Source organism: Homo sapiens, chromosome X (assembly GCF_000001405.40).
Source record: "Homo sapiens chromosome X, GRCh38.p14 Primary Assembly".
In the NCBI taxonomy this organism is placed as follows: Eukaryota; Metazoa; Chordata; class Mammalia; order Primates; family Hominidae; genus Homo; species Homo sapiens.
This window is the reverse complement of record NC_000023.11, coordinates 51168083-51184399: the sequence shown is the minus strand read 5'-3', so window position 1 is coordinate 51184399 and position 16317 is coordinate 51168083. Positions and strand designations below refer to the sequence as shown.

Sequence of the window (16317 nt, the reverse complement as noted above, 5' to 3'; positions counted from 1 at the left end):
GATCATTGTAGCACTGCAGACCATGGGAAATTGTCTTTTTCATAATTATTCTTGGAAAAACTGGGCCTTTCCGTCCCATCATAAAAACACTCCTTCTGCATGGACCTAAATTTGAAAGAGAAAGCATACACTGTTTGAAATATAGGACTGTATATGCATATTTTATATGCATATTTATATATTATTCACATTTTGTATATGCATAATGTGTCTCAGTGATAAAGATGATGAGAAAATATGTGATACGTTGTGGTAATATTTTTGAAAGTGTAGATGAATTAGCAAATGCTTGAAAAATATAACAAACTTGGCTCAAGACAATATGAAAATCAAGAATAGACCTATAGTTATTAAAAGAAACAAATGGGTCATTTAAAAAAGTTTCCCCAAAGAATTAAAACCAAAAATGAAATCCTCTAAGCTCATCAAATATTAAATAAGAAAATGATCCCAATCTTATACAAAGTCTTCTAAGGAATATATGAGAAAAAAAGAACATTTTCCTATTTATATCATGTAGTAAAATTTTGAAAGTGAATATGATGATGGACACAAAAATAAACGACAATAAGAGATCAATCACACTCATGGAAATAGATGGAAAATCCTCAAGAAAATATTAGCAAAGTAAATTCAACAATGTATGAACAAAGTAACATATCAAGACCAAGACGGTCTATCATTAAGAAATAAATTAGTGTCCTCCACCATATTAATCCAAAGCATGGAAATCATATCATTATTTCAGTACATGTAGTAAAAAAGTGTCCAATAAACTCAAACTGCATTCATAATAAAACTTTTCAGATATCTATGAAGAGAAAGAAAGTTTCTTAACTGAAGGACATCTTTAATAACTTTAATAAATGTCCACTAAATTTTGAAATATTGAAAGCTTTCTTTTTTGAGATTGAGAAATAGTTTCCCTTGATTCTATTGGAGATCTTAATTTACTCAGTAAGGCAAGAATAATAAAAGTGTAAGAATTACAAATGAAGAAACAAATCTGTCATTATTGATAGGTGATTTGATTATGGACTAGAAAACCCAAAATAACTTATACATAAATTGTTAGACAAAAGTATCACTACTAGATGATATATGTATATGCATATACATACATCAACACACACATATAAGATTTACAAACCAATATATTGGCAAAAGAGTGACAGAGAATGAGTAAGTTAAAATATACTAATAATAATGCCATCAGAAATCAGCATGGGTCTAATCAAAAGATAGGAACTACATAGGTTAAACAGGATAAGTTTAATACAAATAATTCAACTATGATCAACTCTGAGATTTATGGAACCTTGATATGACACCATAGGGCTAGGGGAAAGTACGCAAGGAAGGAAACAGTTGGAAGGATCTCTCATGGCATAAGTTGTAGTTCAGTCCACTGGTTTGGTAGAGAAGTTGTCTGGTTAGCCAGGCTGGTGCTGGTTTACAGTCCCTGGAAAAGCAGAAGGCAACCTTCCAGAGTGCAGGCAGGGAGGTGATGATCAGCAGCTGGGTGGCTTGGGTGTATGTGGGTGGGTAGATAGGGTGGGACCCCTCCAGGCAGCAGGTGCCCTGTACTGCACACGAGATGTGTGGAAGGTTTGCAGAGGGCTTGCAGCTCAGTGTGGACCCTTCAGGCCACAAGGGGGCCGTGTGCTAGGGCCTGCACAGGGAATCAGAGCTCTGGGCCAGGAGAGAAGCCTTCACGTGCACAGGCCCAGGTGAGAGGCCTTGGAGTGTGGGAGTGTTGAGAGGAATTGCGCTGTTGCTCCTGTGGATAGGAAGCCTCCGGGGCCCTGGTTTCTGTATTAAGACGACTGTGGACAGATCATTGCCAGATGGAGGCTGCATGGTCACAGAGGGACCTTGAGTTCTGGGCCAGTGGTTGTGGCATAGCTCCAACTGATCGCCTTGCCCACACCACTCACTCACCCTGCCTCTGCTGGAAATGGAAGGAATGCCTCTTTTCCCTTCAGTGTTCCTCCACCATCCTCTACTGAAAAAGCTCACTTTCATCATGCTCACTTGAAAGGAGAAATGCTTAATGGAATTACGTTGTTTATCAAACAGCATATATGGAAGGATTCAGTCTAAGCAGAGAGGCAATAAATTGATAATGGATGAAAGTACATAGAATAAATCTTACACAGTAAAGACCTACATGGAAAAGAAACCTGTAACATTTTTAAAGAGATACTCCTGTTATAGTTTGACTTGTGCCCCTCCCAACCACCTTTCATACGTTGAAGTTGTAACACCTAGTACCTCAGAATATGGCCTTATTTGGAGATGGAGTCATTGAAGGTATAATTAGCAAGACGAAGTCATTAAGATGGATCCTACTCCAGTACGACCAGTGTCCTCATTAAAAGGTGAAATTTGGTCACAGAGACAGACACACATAGAGGAAAGGCCCCATGAAGAGACATGCGAAGAAAATAGCCAACTACAAGCCAAAGAGAGAGGTCTCAGACAGATCCTTCCCTCATAGCCCTTAGAAGGAACCAAGTCTGCTGGCACCTTGATTTTGGACTTCTAGCCTCCAGAACTGTGAGACAATATATTTGTGTTGTTTAAGCCAACCAACTGTGGTACTTTGTTACGGCAGCCATAGCAAATGAATGGATTCTGGTACTGAGAAGTGGGGTGCTGCTGTAACAAATACCTAGAAATATGCACATGACGTTGGGTTGCAAACTAATACAGATAGTAATAAATGATAACTTCAATTAATAGAGAAATGTACTTTGTTCACTGACTGTGAAACTTCATGTTGTAATAGTGTCAGTTCTCTCTGAATCATTTTAAAGATTCGATGTGACCACAAACAAAATCCCAAGCAATCGTTTTCGTGTGGCATTTGACAAGGTGATTCCAACTATGATACAGTGATGTGCAGGTCAAGAATTCCAAAGATTAAGAAAAAGGTAGGAGGAGTTTTACTAGTACAGGCAGTCCTCGCTTTGCACCTACTGGAGGACCATGAAATGACCATGCAAATTGAAACCATACCATGTGATCTCAATAACCATAGGAAAAGTTATGCTTGTTCTTTGATCTTTAAATATTTTTGTCAAAATGTTAAAACTCTCTTACTTTCGGTTATACACGTATAAGAAAATTTAAAAATTTGTAAAGCTAAGTGTCATTTAAAACATCAGACAGAGAATTAAAGTCTCAAATATCTATGGAGATCCTTTAATATGAAGGTTTTTTGCTATGTTCATAGCATCACTTCAAAATACTCTGAAGCTGGAAACAATAGAAATATTCCTCATTGTTAGAACTAGTTAAGATATTTTGGAATGTTCATAGAACGAAATATATGCAGCAATAAAGTAAAGAAATTATGGCTACTAGCATCAAGATAAATGACCCTCATTAGAGTGAGCAAAAGTTGCAAATCAAAAGAAGTAAACAGTATAATTGCATGTTAAAAAGTTTAATAGTAGGCAAAATGATAGTGTTTAGGGGTGCAAATGAAGATTGTAGAAAGTATCAATGAAAGCAAAGTAGAGAGTTTTACAAAAGTCAGGAAAGGGGTACATTTAGATTTGATTGAATGGGATGTGTTCAGGAAGGGACATACTAGCAGTTTGTAAATTACAGGAAGTATTCTGTTCTTTAGGTAGTGGTGTGTGCCCCATAGTTACTGTTTTAAGTGTGCATATAATTTATATGTTATGTTACTGATACATATTTAATAATATGTTTAAAATAAAAATGAAGACAGACTTAGAAGGAGCAGCCAGTGTGAATAGACCTCAGGAAGCACCTGGGAGGCTGTAATGTTCTATTTCTTGACACACACACCCTTGTGTATATATATTAACATACACATGTGTAATACACTCCTTTATATTTCATGATAAAAATCTCCTGATACCCATATGCTTGTTTCTTGTATGTTTTCTTCTACAAATCATGAGAGAGCCTGTGAAATGTTCGAAAAACAATGTAGGCTTTAGCACAACAAAATGAATTGGAAGAATTTTCAATATCCTTTCTTCAGTTTGGGCTTTTGTTGTTGTCCCTGTTCTGCTCAGCAAACTAAAACATGGTGTTGAGTCTGAAACTTCCAGATAAGGCTGGGAGAACCAGCAAAAGGAAAAACTAGAGCTAGAAAGATGGGGATAAAGTCAGAGAAATGAACACAGACATGGTACATGCCAGCAATGCATCACCTTTTGATCAAGGTCCCTTATGCAGACTAAGGGTGGCAAAGGCACCTTATAGAAAAGCCTGGACTGCTCATTACATTGCAGCCTGCACGGCAAGAAGCTCAACTGGTGATTGCCAGGGATTCCTTTCTGGAACTACTAGCTCATCACATCTTCCTGGAAGCATGACCTACATGACCTGGTGATGTCGCTGCTGCTTCCCATATAGTAAACCTGATTGCCCAGACACTCCCAAAGAAGGATCAGTGGGAGGAGTCTGTGTTCTCTTGCTTGTAGAATGAAGCAATCTCACCTAATCACTCGGTTCTCGGTTGGTGTGGTGGGCTCCATGGAAAATTTACTGTTTCAGGGAGTTTTGTTGAATGAGCCTTTGCCCATCTACCATCCTTGTGTGTCTTGAACGACTGCTGTTCTAGAGATTATTGTCATGTTTCGCCACTTTCATGAGGTGAGAGTATTACCCCAAGCCTCAGCCTCACTGCCAACCCACCTCTCCTTCTTGCTAAGGTGGGAGCACACCCAAGGTTCCTGAAATGGTTAATATTAGTGTCACCTTGACTGGGTTGAGGGATGCCTCCGTGCCTGGTGATGCATTGTCTCTGGGTGTGCCTGTGAGGGTGTAGCCAGAGGCGATTGATGTGAATCAGTGGACTGGGAGGGGAAGAGCCCCCTTAATGTGGGTGGTTATCATCCAATCAGCTGCTGGTGCAGTTAGAACAAATCAAGCAGAAGAAGGGGACTTCCTATCTCTCAATCTCTCTCTCTCTCTCTCCCCCCCACATTTGGGAATGGGATACCATTTTCTCCTCCTTACCTTGGACAGCCATCTCCAGGATCCTTGGCCTTTGGACTCTGGGACTTGCACTAGCAGCCTCCCAGGAGATCTCAAGCCTTTAGCCTCAGACTGGGGACTGCATATTAGCTTCCCTGGGTTTGAAGTGTTTGGGCTTGGACTGAGCTATGCTGTCGGCTTTTCCTATTCCCCAGATTGGGACTTCATCTCTGTAATCGTGTGAGCCCATTCTCCCTAATAAACTCCCTGCTACATATATACATATATACCTTATTGGTCCTGTCTTTGTCCCTCTGGAGAACCCTGACTACTGCATTTCTCTAGGGCGCAGCTCACCCTCAGCTTTGGGATATGGCCCTCTGGAATCCTTCAAATTTTGAGACTGGGGCAGCTCCAGCTTCCCTTTTAAATATTGGAAGTAAATACTTAAATGATTCTTTTAGCTCCACATATTTTATTGCTTCTTTCCAGAAGGACATGTGCTTGCTTGAGATGCGGTAGATGTGGCCTGGGTGATCTGGAGGTGTAGAGGTTGTGGGTGGATGAGCATAAGAACATACTTGTCCCTGTTACTCTGTGATCCTGTGCCCTAGGGCTGTACTTTTTCCTTCCGCTTAGCTTTTTGGGCAGTGCTGATTAGAATGCAGGATGAATTTACATAGTGGGCTGCTCTGACTGGAATGGTTTAATACAGAAATGAGTGGGGAGTGTGGATGTGGGGGTGGAAAGAGACATGAATCTAATTTTCCAGATGAATCTGCATCCTTTATGCAATAGAGCTCTGCTTGCGTCTGAATAGTTGTCTTGACAACGCCACAATGAGTAAATCGATTTAAGAAAAAGACTGCTATGACAGTGGGGTCAACTTAGGAGCAGAGAAGGAACACACACAGTGTTTTAATAGCTGGAGAGTGCAGAAACTAAGGGACTGTGGCTCCAGGAAACACACACTCAATTGCAACCTCATGCTTTCCACCCAGAGCCTCAGTGTCATATGTGTTATTCCACTGACCTTCCCACTCACCTTCAGTGTCATATTTCACAATGAAAATGCCTTTCACCTGCTTGGCTGGTTCCACTCATTTCTCATCATTCCCAGATCCTCTGGGGAAAAGAAGCCAGGGATTTTGAAGAAGACTTCTATGTGAATTCATGTGGGTGAAGGATTACCCAGGTGCCGAGGCAAGAGACTGAAGGCACAAACTGTTTCAGTATAATAAAGAAAATAGTTAGAATAAGAATAGTTATAATACAAATTAGATATAGAGATGAACATGGACATTATCAATCATTAGTATAGACATTATTAATCCTTAGCTTTTAATATTATTCTTTGTCGTATTACTAATATAATCAAGGAATAACCGGTGGGTATAGGGTCAGGTGCTGAAGGGACATTGTGAGAAGTGACCAAGAAGGCAAGAGGTGAGCCCTCTGTCATGCCCGCATAAGGGCCTCTTGAGGGCTCCTTGGTCAAGCTGTAATGCCAGTGTCTAGGAAGGCACCAGTTACTTAGCAGACCGCGAAAGGGAGTCTCCCTTTCCTTGGAGGAGTCAGGGAATGCTCTGCTCCACAAGCTTCTTGTGGCAGGCTGGATATTATCCAGGCCTGCCCGCAGTCGTCTGGAGGCCTTAAACCCCTCCCTGTGGTGCTGTGCTTCAGTGGTCACACTCCTTGTCCACTTGCATGTTCCTCCCATACTCCTGGTTCCTCTTTGAAGTTCTTAGAAGATAGCGGTAGAAGAAATAGTGAAAGTCTTAAAGTCTTTGATCTTTCTGATAAGTGCATAGAAGAAAACGCTGACGTATGCTGCCTTCCCTCTCTGCTTTGGCTACCTAAAAGGGAAGGGCCCCCTGTCCCATGATCATGTGACTTGCTTGACCTTATCAATCACTTGGACGACTCACCCTCCTTACCCTGCCCTCTTGTCTTGTATGCAATAAATATCAGCGTGCCCAGCCATTTGGGGCCACTACCGGTCTCCATGTCTTGGTGGTAGTGGTCCCCCAGGCCCAGCTGTTTTCTCTTTATCTCTTTTGTCTCGTGTCTTTATTTCTTATGATCTCTCGTCTCCGCACATGGGGAGAACACCTGCTAAGCCCCATAGGGCTGGACCCTACAAATTCAAAATCCCAGTGGCCTCACATTCCCATGGAATCCAGCTGAGGGTCAAAGTCAGGTGGAGAGGAGCCTCATGACCCCCTCATGGCCCTTTGCTCTTTCCTCTGGGGTGCAGCAAACAATATGTTTAGAACAGCAGAGGCTGCTGAGCCTAAGACTGAGAGGACGGCCAAAGGCTGGGAGACTGCTAAGCCTGTGGTCATGGCCAGAGACCAGGGAAGAGACAAAACTGAAAGATAGGATGCTAGGCCCTGACATTCATGCCATGGTCATTATCTGCCATAATATAAGCGCTTGCTGAAAAATATTCAGATGGCAAAATGGGTGTAGAATGATGTATATCTCCTCATATTCTTCTGACCCTACACACCCCTGCAAGAGCTGTGACTGCTATGCACACTCCAGCCTATGCTCCCTGTAGAGATAGATATTTAGATGAGGAAGTATAGACACACGAGAACATATTTTGCTTTTCATTTTCCTTGTATAAGTTTATGTTCTACCCTACACGTAAGGACGGTCCTGTAGCAGGCTCCTTCCATATCAGGAACATTGACAGTATCTCTGCAAAGTCTCGCCCAAACAGAGGCCTCTGCTCTGTGTGGCCCCTGCTCAATGGTGGCCAGGCATAGCCCTGGCTGCTCTGCTCATCCCTGCACAGAACTGAACTTCAAGGGACACTCCCCCCTGTCAACCCTAGGGAGCTCCTGATAGAATATAGACTACCCTTTCCTTCACAAAGTATATTCAAGTCAGTCACTTCACTGGTCACTGAAAAGGATGTGGAGGACTCCTGCCATCCCTCACATGCCTGATTTACAACGATCTCTTACGGGAAAGGAGGAATCCCTTTGACCTGGAAGACTGGATTCTAGGAAACACTAACCTGTAGCCCAGAAAAACCTGCAGACCAGTAGGCTTGTTCTTCTCTCCCTCTAGCTGGGCCTGAGAGTGGCCAGGAGAGGAAGTTTACCAGCCTGTTAACCAGGCACATGATGCCTGGGAGCTAGTCCTCCTGACATCGCCCATGATGTCTGAACTACGGGGTTCAGAATGCTTCCAGGTTGGTGAATACACCTATGAGCCAGGAGGGTGGCACACCCCAACTCTATGGGGACAGAAGCTCCTTCACTCAGGATCCTTCCAGACCTCACCCTATGTATCCCTTCAAGGGCCGTTCATCTATATCCTTCATTATATAATAAGTTGGTAAATGTAACAAGTTTTTCCTGAGTTCTTTCCTGAGTTCTGTGAGTTCTCCTAGCAAATTATCAAAGCCAAGAGTCATAGGAACCCTGAATGATAGCCAGTTAGAAGTACAGGTGAAAACCTGGGGCTTAAGATTGGCTTCTGGGGTGGGAGGCAGTCTTGTGGGACTGCACCCTTAAAGTGCGGGATCTATGCTAACTCCAGTTAGTGATAGAATTGAACTGAATTGTAGGACATCCAGCCGGTGTCTGCAGATAATAGGAAAACTTGTTAATGTGTGAAAAATCCCCTCATTTGGTGACCAGAACTGTTCTGTGTTGAGCGTGTGTAGTATAAGGCAGGTTTTGACCATCTTTGACCAGGCTTGACCAGTCTGACCTGGCCATGACCAGCAGTGACCAGCCTTGACTGGCCGTTTCTGGCATGAGCCTGTTGCCTTCTGCCTGACTGAGTGCCAAGGACTCGGGGGCTGTGCAGCGCTGGGGTGTAGGTGGAGGGGAGCAGAGTAGGAGAGAGAAAAGCCCTATGGGAATACTCGAGGAGCGGGTGTCCCCAGGAGATCTCACTGGTGGGTTTATACCAGAAGGGCCTTGGGAATCATTTTCTCTTGCAGATGGGGAAATAGGTCCTGGGAATGTGTACGCAACTGTCAGAGCAGGTGACAGAGGAGAGGGGGTAGGAATGCCTGCCTGTCAGCCAAAAAGTCAGTCTCAAGGCACTGTTTTGTGCTTTGTTGTCCAGCTATGAAAGGCATCTCTCAAGACCTTGGGCTTGGGCCCCAAGAGTTAGTGTGGTAGCCAGGGCTCAGGAAGGCTACAACTTGGCACCGTGTCCTTTGAGGAACAAATCCTATGCACAGTGAAATAAATATAACAGATGAGTATTTTGGAGGCAAATTCACTTGATATGAATTTTACCACTTTTACCAATTTTTTTCTACTTTAAGTTCTGGGATATATGTGCAGAACGTGCAGGTTTGTTACATAGGTATACATGTGCCATGGTGGTTTGCTGCACCTATCAACCCATCTTCTAGGTTTTAAGCCCCACATACATTAGGTATTTGTCCTAATGCTCTCCCTCCCCTTGCCCCCCACCCCTGGCAGGCTCCGGTGTGTGTTGTTTCCCTCCCTGTGTCCACGTGTTCTCATTGTTCAGCTTCCACTTATGAGTGAAAACATGTACTGTTTGATTTTCTGTTCCTGTGTTAGTTTGCTGAGAATGATGACTTCTATTTTTAAGTATACAATTTGGTGAAATTTAACACCTTGACAGTGTTGTACAGCCACCTATCTAGTTCCAGAGCTTTTTTATCACCTCCAAAGGGAACTCAGTACCCATTAGGATGTCCCTTCCCATTTCCCCCTCTTCAGTCCCTGGAAGCTACTAATCTACTTCCTGAACTCTATGGATTTGCCCTTCTGGACATTCCATATAAATGGGGTTATACAGTATGTGCCTTTAGTGTCTTGTTCCTTTTACTTTAGATGTTTTCAAGGTTCATCCATGTTATAACATACATCAGTACTTCATTCCTGTGTTCCTTCTGATTGAATACACTTAATATTTACCATTTAAACCATCTTAATTATACAGTTCTATGGCATTAACCACATTTACAGTGGTTGTGTAACCATCACCACCATCCATCTCCAGAACTTTTTTCATCATCCCCAACAGGAACTCTGTATTCACTAAACACTACTTCCTATTCCTCTCTCCTCCAGTCCCTGGAAACTACCTCTCTACTTGAGGTTCCAGTGAATTGATTACTCTAGGTAGCTCAGATAAGTGGAAGAGTACAGCATTCGTCCTTCTGTGCCTAGGTTATTTCTCTTTGCATAATGACTCACGTTTCATCCATGTTGCAGTATGTATCAGAATTCCTTTTGTTTTTAAGGCAGAATAATATTATATACCACATTTTGTTTATCTACTTGTCCATTGGTGGACACTCATGTTGCCTCCAATTTTTGGCTATTGTGAATACTGCTGCTGTGCATATGGGTGCTTTTAGTTCTTTTGAGTCTATACCCATATATACCCATCCCTGCTTTTAGTTCTTTGGAGTGTATGCCCATATAACTGACAGGTTTGCATAATTCATCTCACTGAATCCTGGACAACCTGGGAAAGTTTTCTTCTATGCTGGTGTTAAAGACAAAGAATGTAATGCTAAGAGAGACCATGACCCAAGTCTGTGACCCAGGATCATAGGGTGACTGCAGGAGTTAGCTGGGTTCCAAACTAAAATATTGCTGAGTTTTTGTGTTTGTCCATTTTGTGTTGCTGTAAAAGAATACCTGGGGCTGGGTAATTTATCAAGGAAAAAGGTTCATTTAGCTCATGGTTTTGCAGATTACACAAAAAGCATGGCGCCAGCATCTCTGTCTGGTGAGGCCTACGGAAGCTTTTACTCATTGTGGAAGGCAAGGGGAGCCAGCGTGTCACATGAGGAGAAAGACAGCAAGAGAGTAGGGGATGATCTCAGACTCTTTTTAACAACTAGATCTCTTGTGAACTCATTACCACGCAGAGGGCACCAACCCATTCAGGAGGGATCCTCCCCCATGACCCAAACCCTCCTGCCAGGGGCCACCTCCAACTTTGGGGATCACATTTCAACATGAGATTTGGTGGGGGCAAATAGCCAAACCATATTAGTTCTCATCATTTTCATAGTATATTATTAGGCCCTCTTGATTTCAAGTTCCAATGTGTGGTCAGCATTTCAATTGATATTTACATATATTTAGATATTAATTAGCATATTTAATACATAAAGTTTTGTTTACCAAGTGTTCCATATTTTATCTTTTATGATATTCACAAAGTTTCATGTTGTACCGATATTCCTGTTTTCTGTAGTTCCACTCCTACCTGAGGAACAGCCATTTTAACAATGCTACTTTGGAGGTTTTCTCGGATGAGAAAAGAAAATATCTGGCCTGATATTGCAGGGGTGAAGGGAAGAGTCAGACTCTCAGTTAATCAGGGGTGAAGGGAAGAGTCAGACTCTCAGTTAATCTTGCCTAGATCTGGCCAATGTTTGTGGTAAAACATTTTTATTTCCTTCAATATGATATTATGAACTATGAGAACTTTCTTGCTGGACTAGTCTCTGATGAAGGTGAGACAGTTTGTTCCACAGTCTCCATGGCATCTGAACCCTAACCCATCATTTAATTTAGTTTGGGAAAACTCTAAGTATGTGATTACCAAAAAGCATTGAGAAACCTAAGTAAACATATCATAAAACATTCTTGTGGAAAGTTCATTTATAAACCTTTATCTCATTTACATCTGTTTTATTCATTTAATTTTAACAATTATGTTTAGGCAATTTTAGGAGACATTAGAAAAACCTAGTCATCATCACAAGTTAAATTTTTTATTAACTGTTTTTTATATTACTGTACATTAGGCAAGTATCGTAAAAGCAAGAACCTTGCCATTAAGCACATGTATATTTTTTTGTTAGCTCAGAAGACAGTTATTTTTATTAAACCAACAATAACAACATAGTTTTATTTACCAAAAGATTTATTCAAGTCACATAAATTTGAAAAAATATTTGGTCTTATTTAATTAATTTCTGAGTACTCATTCAGGTTAATGTGGTACCACGTGTAAATAATATGCAAATATACATATGACCATATACATATATGTAGACACAACATATAACATTCACATGTACACATGTATGTACCTAATAGCCAAAGAGATCAAGGAGTTTAGTGCAAAAGAGAGTCGTAGAGCTTCAGACTTGAATCTGTCCACTTAAAACTCTTGGGGTTCCATGAGGAAAATCAAAGCTTCCTCCCCTAAAGAGAAACTCATGTTGCCTTTTCTGTTTTAATTAAAGGATCCCAGGCAGTTAGAATTGTTTTTAGGTCCCCTCCTGTGGCATTGAAAGTTGCAAGGGGAAGGAGGGACACACGGAATAGAAGGAGAAGCAGACAGAGGGAGCAAATATGGTTAGCAGAGGTTTAAAAAGACAGGAATTCAGTTGACTGAGAAGGTTTTACAGAGCGAATAGAAGCCTTAAACAATATATATATATATATATGTGTACATACATAACCTAAATATCAGTTTGAATTAAGTCAGCTTTTGACTATAGAGCTCTTAAAAAAAACTTTTAAAATCTCTTGTTAAAAGATTTTAGCTGGGATAAACAGCTGACATTTCTGTTTTTACTTTTTTTTCTAGAGATACCTTCCCAAGTGAAAGCAATAAGCCTTAACCAAAGCTGTGACTTAACCAAGGATTCACAAGGCATCTCCAAACATGTAAGTGGGTACCCGCAAAATTAAAAGTCACACAAATATAAAACGAACAGGGACTGGTTTCCTGAGGAGAAATCAAACCCAAGCGAAGGCTGTGAAAGTGTGGAATTGGAACTACTGTGCAACAAGGTTGAGCAGCGTTCATTATTAATCCTGCAGGGAATCCAAAGCAGGCAGTTTGAGCTCACAAAGATTTTAAATTTGTTTAGGTTAGGTTTTTGCTCTTAATTGTGTCAAGATAATTTCTAGGGCTGGCCATGACACTATTGCATGTCTTTCTTTGAATTTGATCTTCCCATCAATTGTTTAGAATGAGAGATCTCAAAAGACTTTTTATTTATTTATTTATTTATTTATTTTATTATACTTTAAGTTCTAGGATACGTGTGCAGAACGTGCAGGTCCGTTACATAGGTATACATGTGCCATGGTGGTTTGCTGAACCCATCAACCCGTCATCTTCAAAGGTATTTCTCGTAATGCTATCCCTCCCCTTGCCCCCCACCCCCTGACTGGCCCTGTTTTGTGATGTTCCCCTCCCTGTGTCCATGTGTTCTTATTGTTCAACTCCCACTTATGAGTGAGAACATGCAGTGTTTGGTTTTCTGTTCCTGTGTTAGTTTGCTGAGAATGATGGTTTCCAGCTTCATCCATGTCCCTGCAAAGGGCATGAACTCATCCTTTTTTATGGCTGCATAGTATTCCATGGTGTATATGTGCCACATTTTCTTTATCCAGTCTATCATTGACGGGCATTTGGGTTGGTTCCAAGCCTTTGCTATTGTAAATAGTGTTGCAATAAACATACATGTGCATGGGTCTTTAAGGTAGAATGATTTATAATCCTTTGGGTATATACCCAGTAATGGGATTGCTGGGTCAAGAAAAAATTTCAGGAATCTAATTTAAAAGATTCACCTTCTGGTCATTGAATTTCCAATGCTGTACTCATTCCAATAGTGACTCAATCCAATAGCTTCTTCATGGAAAGCCCAGCATGTAATATTCCAGGTTTAAAAAAAGATGTTCCCTGGAGAGAAGCAAACCCAAAGACCCCCTCCCCAAAAAATTCTCCCTGGAATAGGTTTAATTTTATGAGTACTCATTCGAGTTAATGTGGTACCACGTGTAGGTAATATGCAAATATATGTATGACCACATACATATATGTAGACAACATATATTCACATGTACACATGTGTGTACTTAATAGCCAAAGAGATCAAGGAGATAGCAGAGGACTCTTGTTACCACAGATTGTCGAGGATGGTGTTTGCCTTTGGCAACCCAAAATTTGTGGGGGAGGGTGCCACTCACAGACCTTTTAATCTGTGACACTGCATAGGCCTGCCTGGGATTGGGCTTTCCCAGCACTAACTAGGCAACAAGGGTTAGGATGACAAAAGTCGTGTAGGAATGGAACTTTTTAAGACAAACTCTCCTGAGAGCTGACAGCTTGACATATTCGAAGCAAAATGTCTTGGTTTTGCAGCCTTTTTGAGACTGGCCACCCAATGGGACTCGAAAATTATGCTGCCTGGATGGCACAGACCAAGAGAGTCCTTCCACTTGGTCACAAGTCAAGCTTTCAAGGACATCAAACAAGATGAGAGAGAACCTAAAATGATACTCCTCTTCATGACAGAAGGACACCCAAAGACAAAGGAAAAGACTATTTCTGGTAGAAAAGGGACCAAACACTATGAATATTCAAACCACAAAGTACCAAAAAGTATACCAGAGTCACTAGAACAAGATGAGTTAAACAAATCCTTTCCTCCTATTAATCAAGACTTTGGAGAAGAAAAACAAATAACAATATTTACCATCCACTTGACCAGATTCCACAGAAAGACAGAGACCTGGAGCCTGACTGGTAAGAAATCCTTACCCTTTTGATGGCTCATCAGGACCTGGATTCACTTGGCTGTGGGTCAGGAGAGCAGAGCCTGCTCACAGCCTCAAACTGTAGGAACCAAGGGAAAGTGTCCCCTTCGCCCTCGGAAGGTTCGCTAAAAAATCAACTCACAAATGACAGATTAATTGCAGCAAAGGCATAGAAACTTTACTGATGTGTACACAGGGAACATCACAGCATGATGACCCAACCACCCAATGACCTGAGGAAGCTTATATACCATCCTGAGATTACAGCAAAAACGTTGGCTTAGGGAATGGCCACAAGCAGGTGATAGTGGTAAAACAGGTTATAGTGGCAAGACAGGTTATGGGAGGGAGGGAAGAGGAGGCTGGCTAGCAAGGGTGGTCTTGTTAGGTAGAAGAACTCTCACAGGTAGGTAGCAGCCCTCAGAGTAAATAGATGGTAAATGTTGCTTTCCAGTCATTAAGGCATCAGAATCTTAGTTCCTTTCTCCTAGGTCCAGACAAGGGAAGGCTTGGCTGAGTTCATGCAAATTTTCTACACATGCAAGTTTCCCCCACAAAAGACAGCTTTGCAGGGCTACTTCTTCTTGCTGGCTGTCTTTATATAATCTCCAATTATATCAAAGAAATATATTTTGGGGGCTGGGCGCGGTGGCTCATACCTGTAATCCCAGCACTTTGGGAGGCCGAGGCAGGTGAATCATGAGGTCAGGAGATCAAGACCATACTGGCTAACACAGTGAAACCCCATCTCTACTAAAAATACAAAAAATTAGCCAAGTGTGGTGGCATGTGCCTGTAGTCCCAGCTACTCAGGAGGCTGAGGCAGGAGAATTGCTTGAACCTGGGAGGAGGAGGTTGCAGTGAGCTGAGATCGCGCCACTGCACTCCAGCCTGGGTGACAGAGCAAGACTCTGTCTCAAAAAAAAAAGAAATATATTTTGGGGCAAAATTTTTTTCCTTCCTTATGATATTCTGAATTATGGGAACTTTCCTGCTGAACTAATGTTTTTCAGTGAAGGTCCATGGGGACAAGAATTTGCCATCCATCAGGGGGCGACAGAGGCAGCCATTTGGTTCATTGAGATGCATTGCAATTTTAGTGTTGGATGTGTACTTGCCCTAAGTCCCATAACAAAGCTTTGATATAATAATCACACCTTTTTACTGCATTTCAATATCCATAAATATTAATAAGTCATCTGAACAATTATCTGTTTCCTGTACTAATTGTTAATTGTATAAACAAAGTTGTTTTAAATATTTATATAGATTGTCAGGATGTGGACTGTGACATTTTATCAGTTAACTGTATTGACTGATCATGTACACATCAGTGTCTAAACCTAAAATATCTTGCAACGGGTCTATATATATATACACGTAAACATACACACACACACTCACATATATACACACACACGGGTAAGAATACAACAAGGTAATATACTCTCCATTCAATTCTTATGAAATTTTAATGATCAATTTTCTTTCAATTTGGCTTTCACTCAGCATTTCTCTACTAATTATCCCAAATATGGACTCGGTATTCAGCTACTATTTTCTTGCTTTATAAATTGAGGGTTATTCTCACAGATGATTTGCCAAGTAACTTTTTTTTTGTCTTTTGAATAATGACATTATGAAATTTTCATAATATGAAATTTCATGATCCTTTAAGGATTTAGCTGCACAAAGTCTTAGAAAATGTGGTAAGAGTGGGCTTTGGGTGAATGGGTTGAAAGAATATGTATGCAATCCCCCAGATACCCTAGAGTCTGCTGTGTCCCCAAGAGAGCAGACTAGATGGCAGGCAACTGGGGTGGAC

At 41.3% G+C, this 16317-nt stretch overlaps 1 long non-coding RNA gene across 1 annotated transcript in view; it reads left to right on the top strand.

Moving 5' to 3' along the window:
• Positions 1-12978: 12978 nt before the first annotated feature.
• The window catches only part of LINC01284 (long intergenic non-protein coding RNA 1284), a 75586-nt gene continuing 72247 nt past the window's right edge, over positions 12979-16317 (top strand). Inside the window, exon 1 of the long non-coding RNA NR_110382.2 lies at positions 12979-13072. This is a non-coding gene — a long non-coding RNA (long intergenic non-protein coding RNA 1284). The remainder of the gene's footprint in view (positions 13073-16317) is intronic.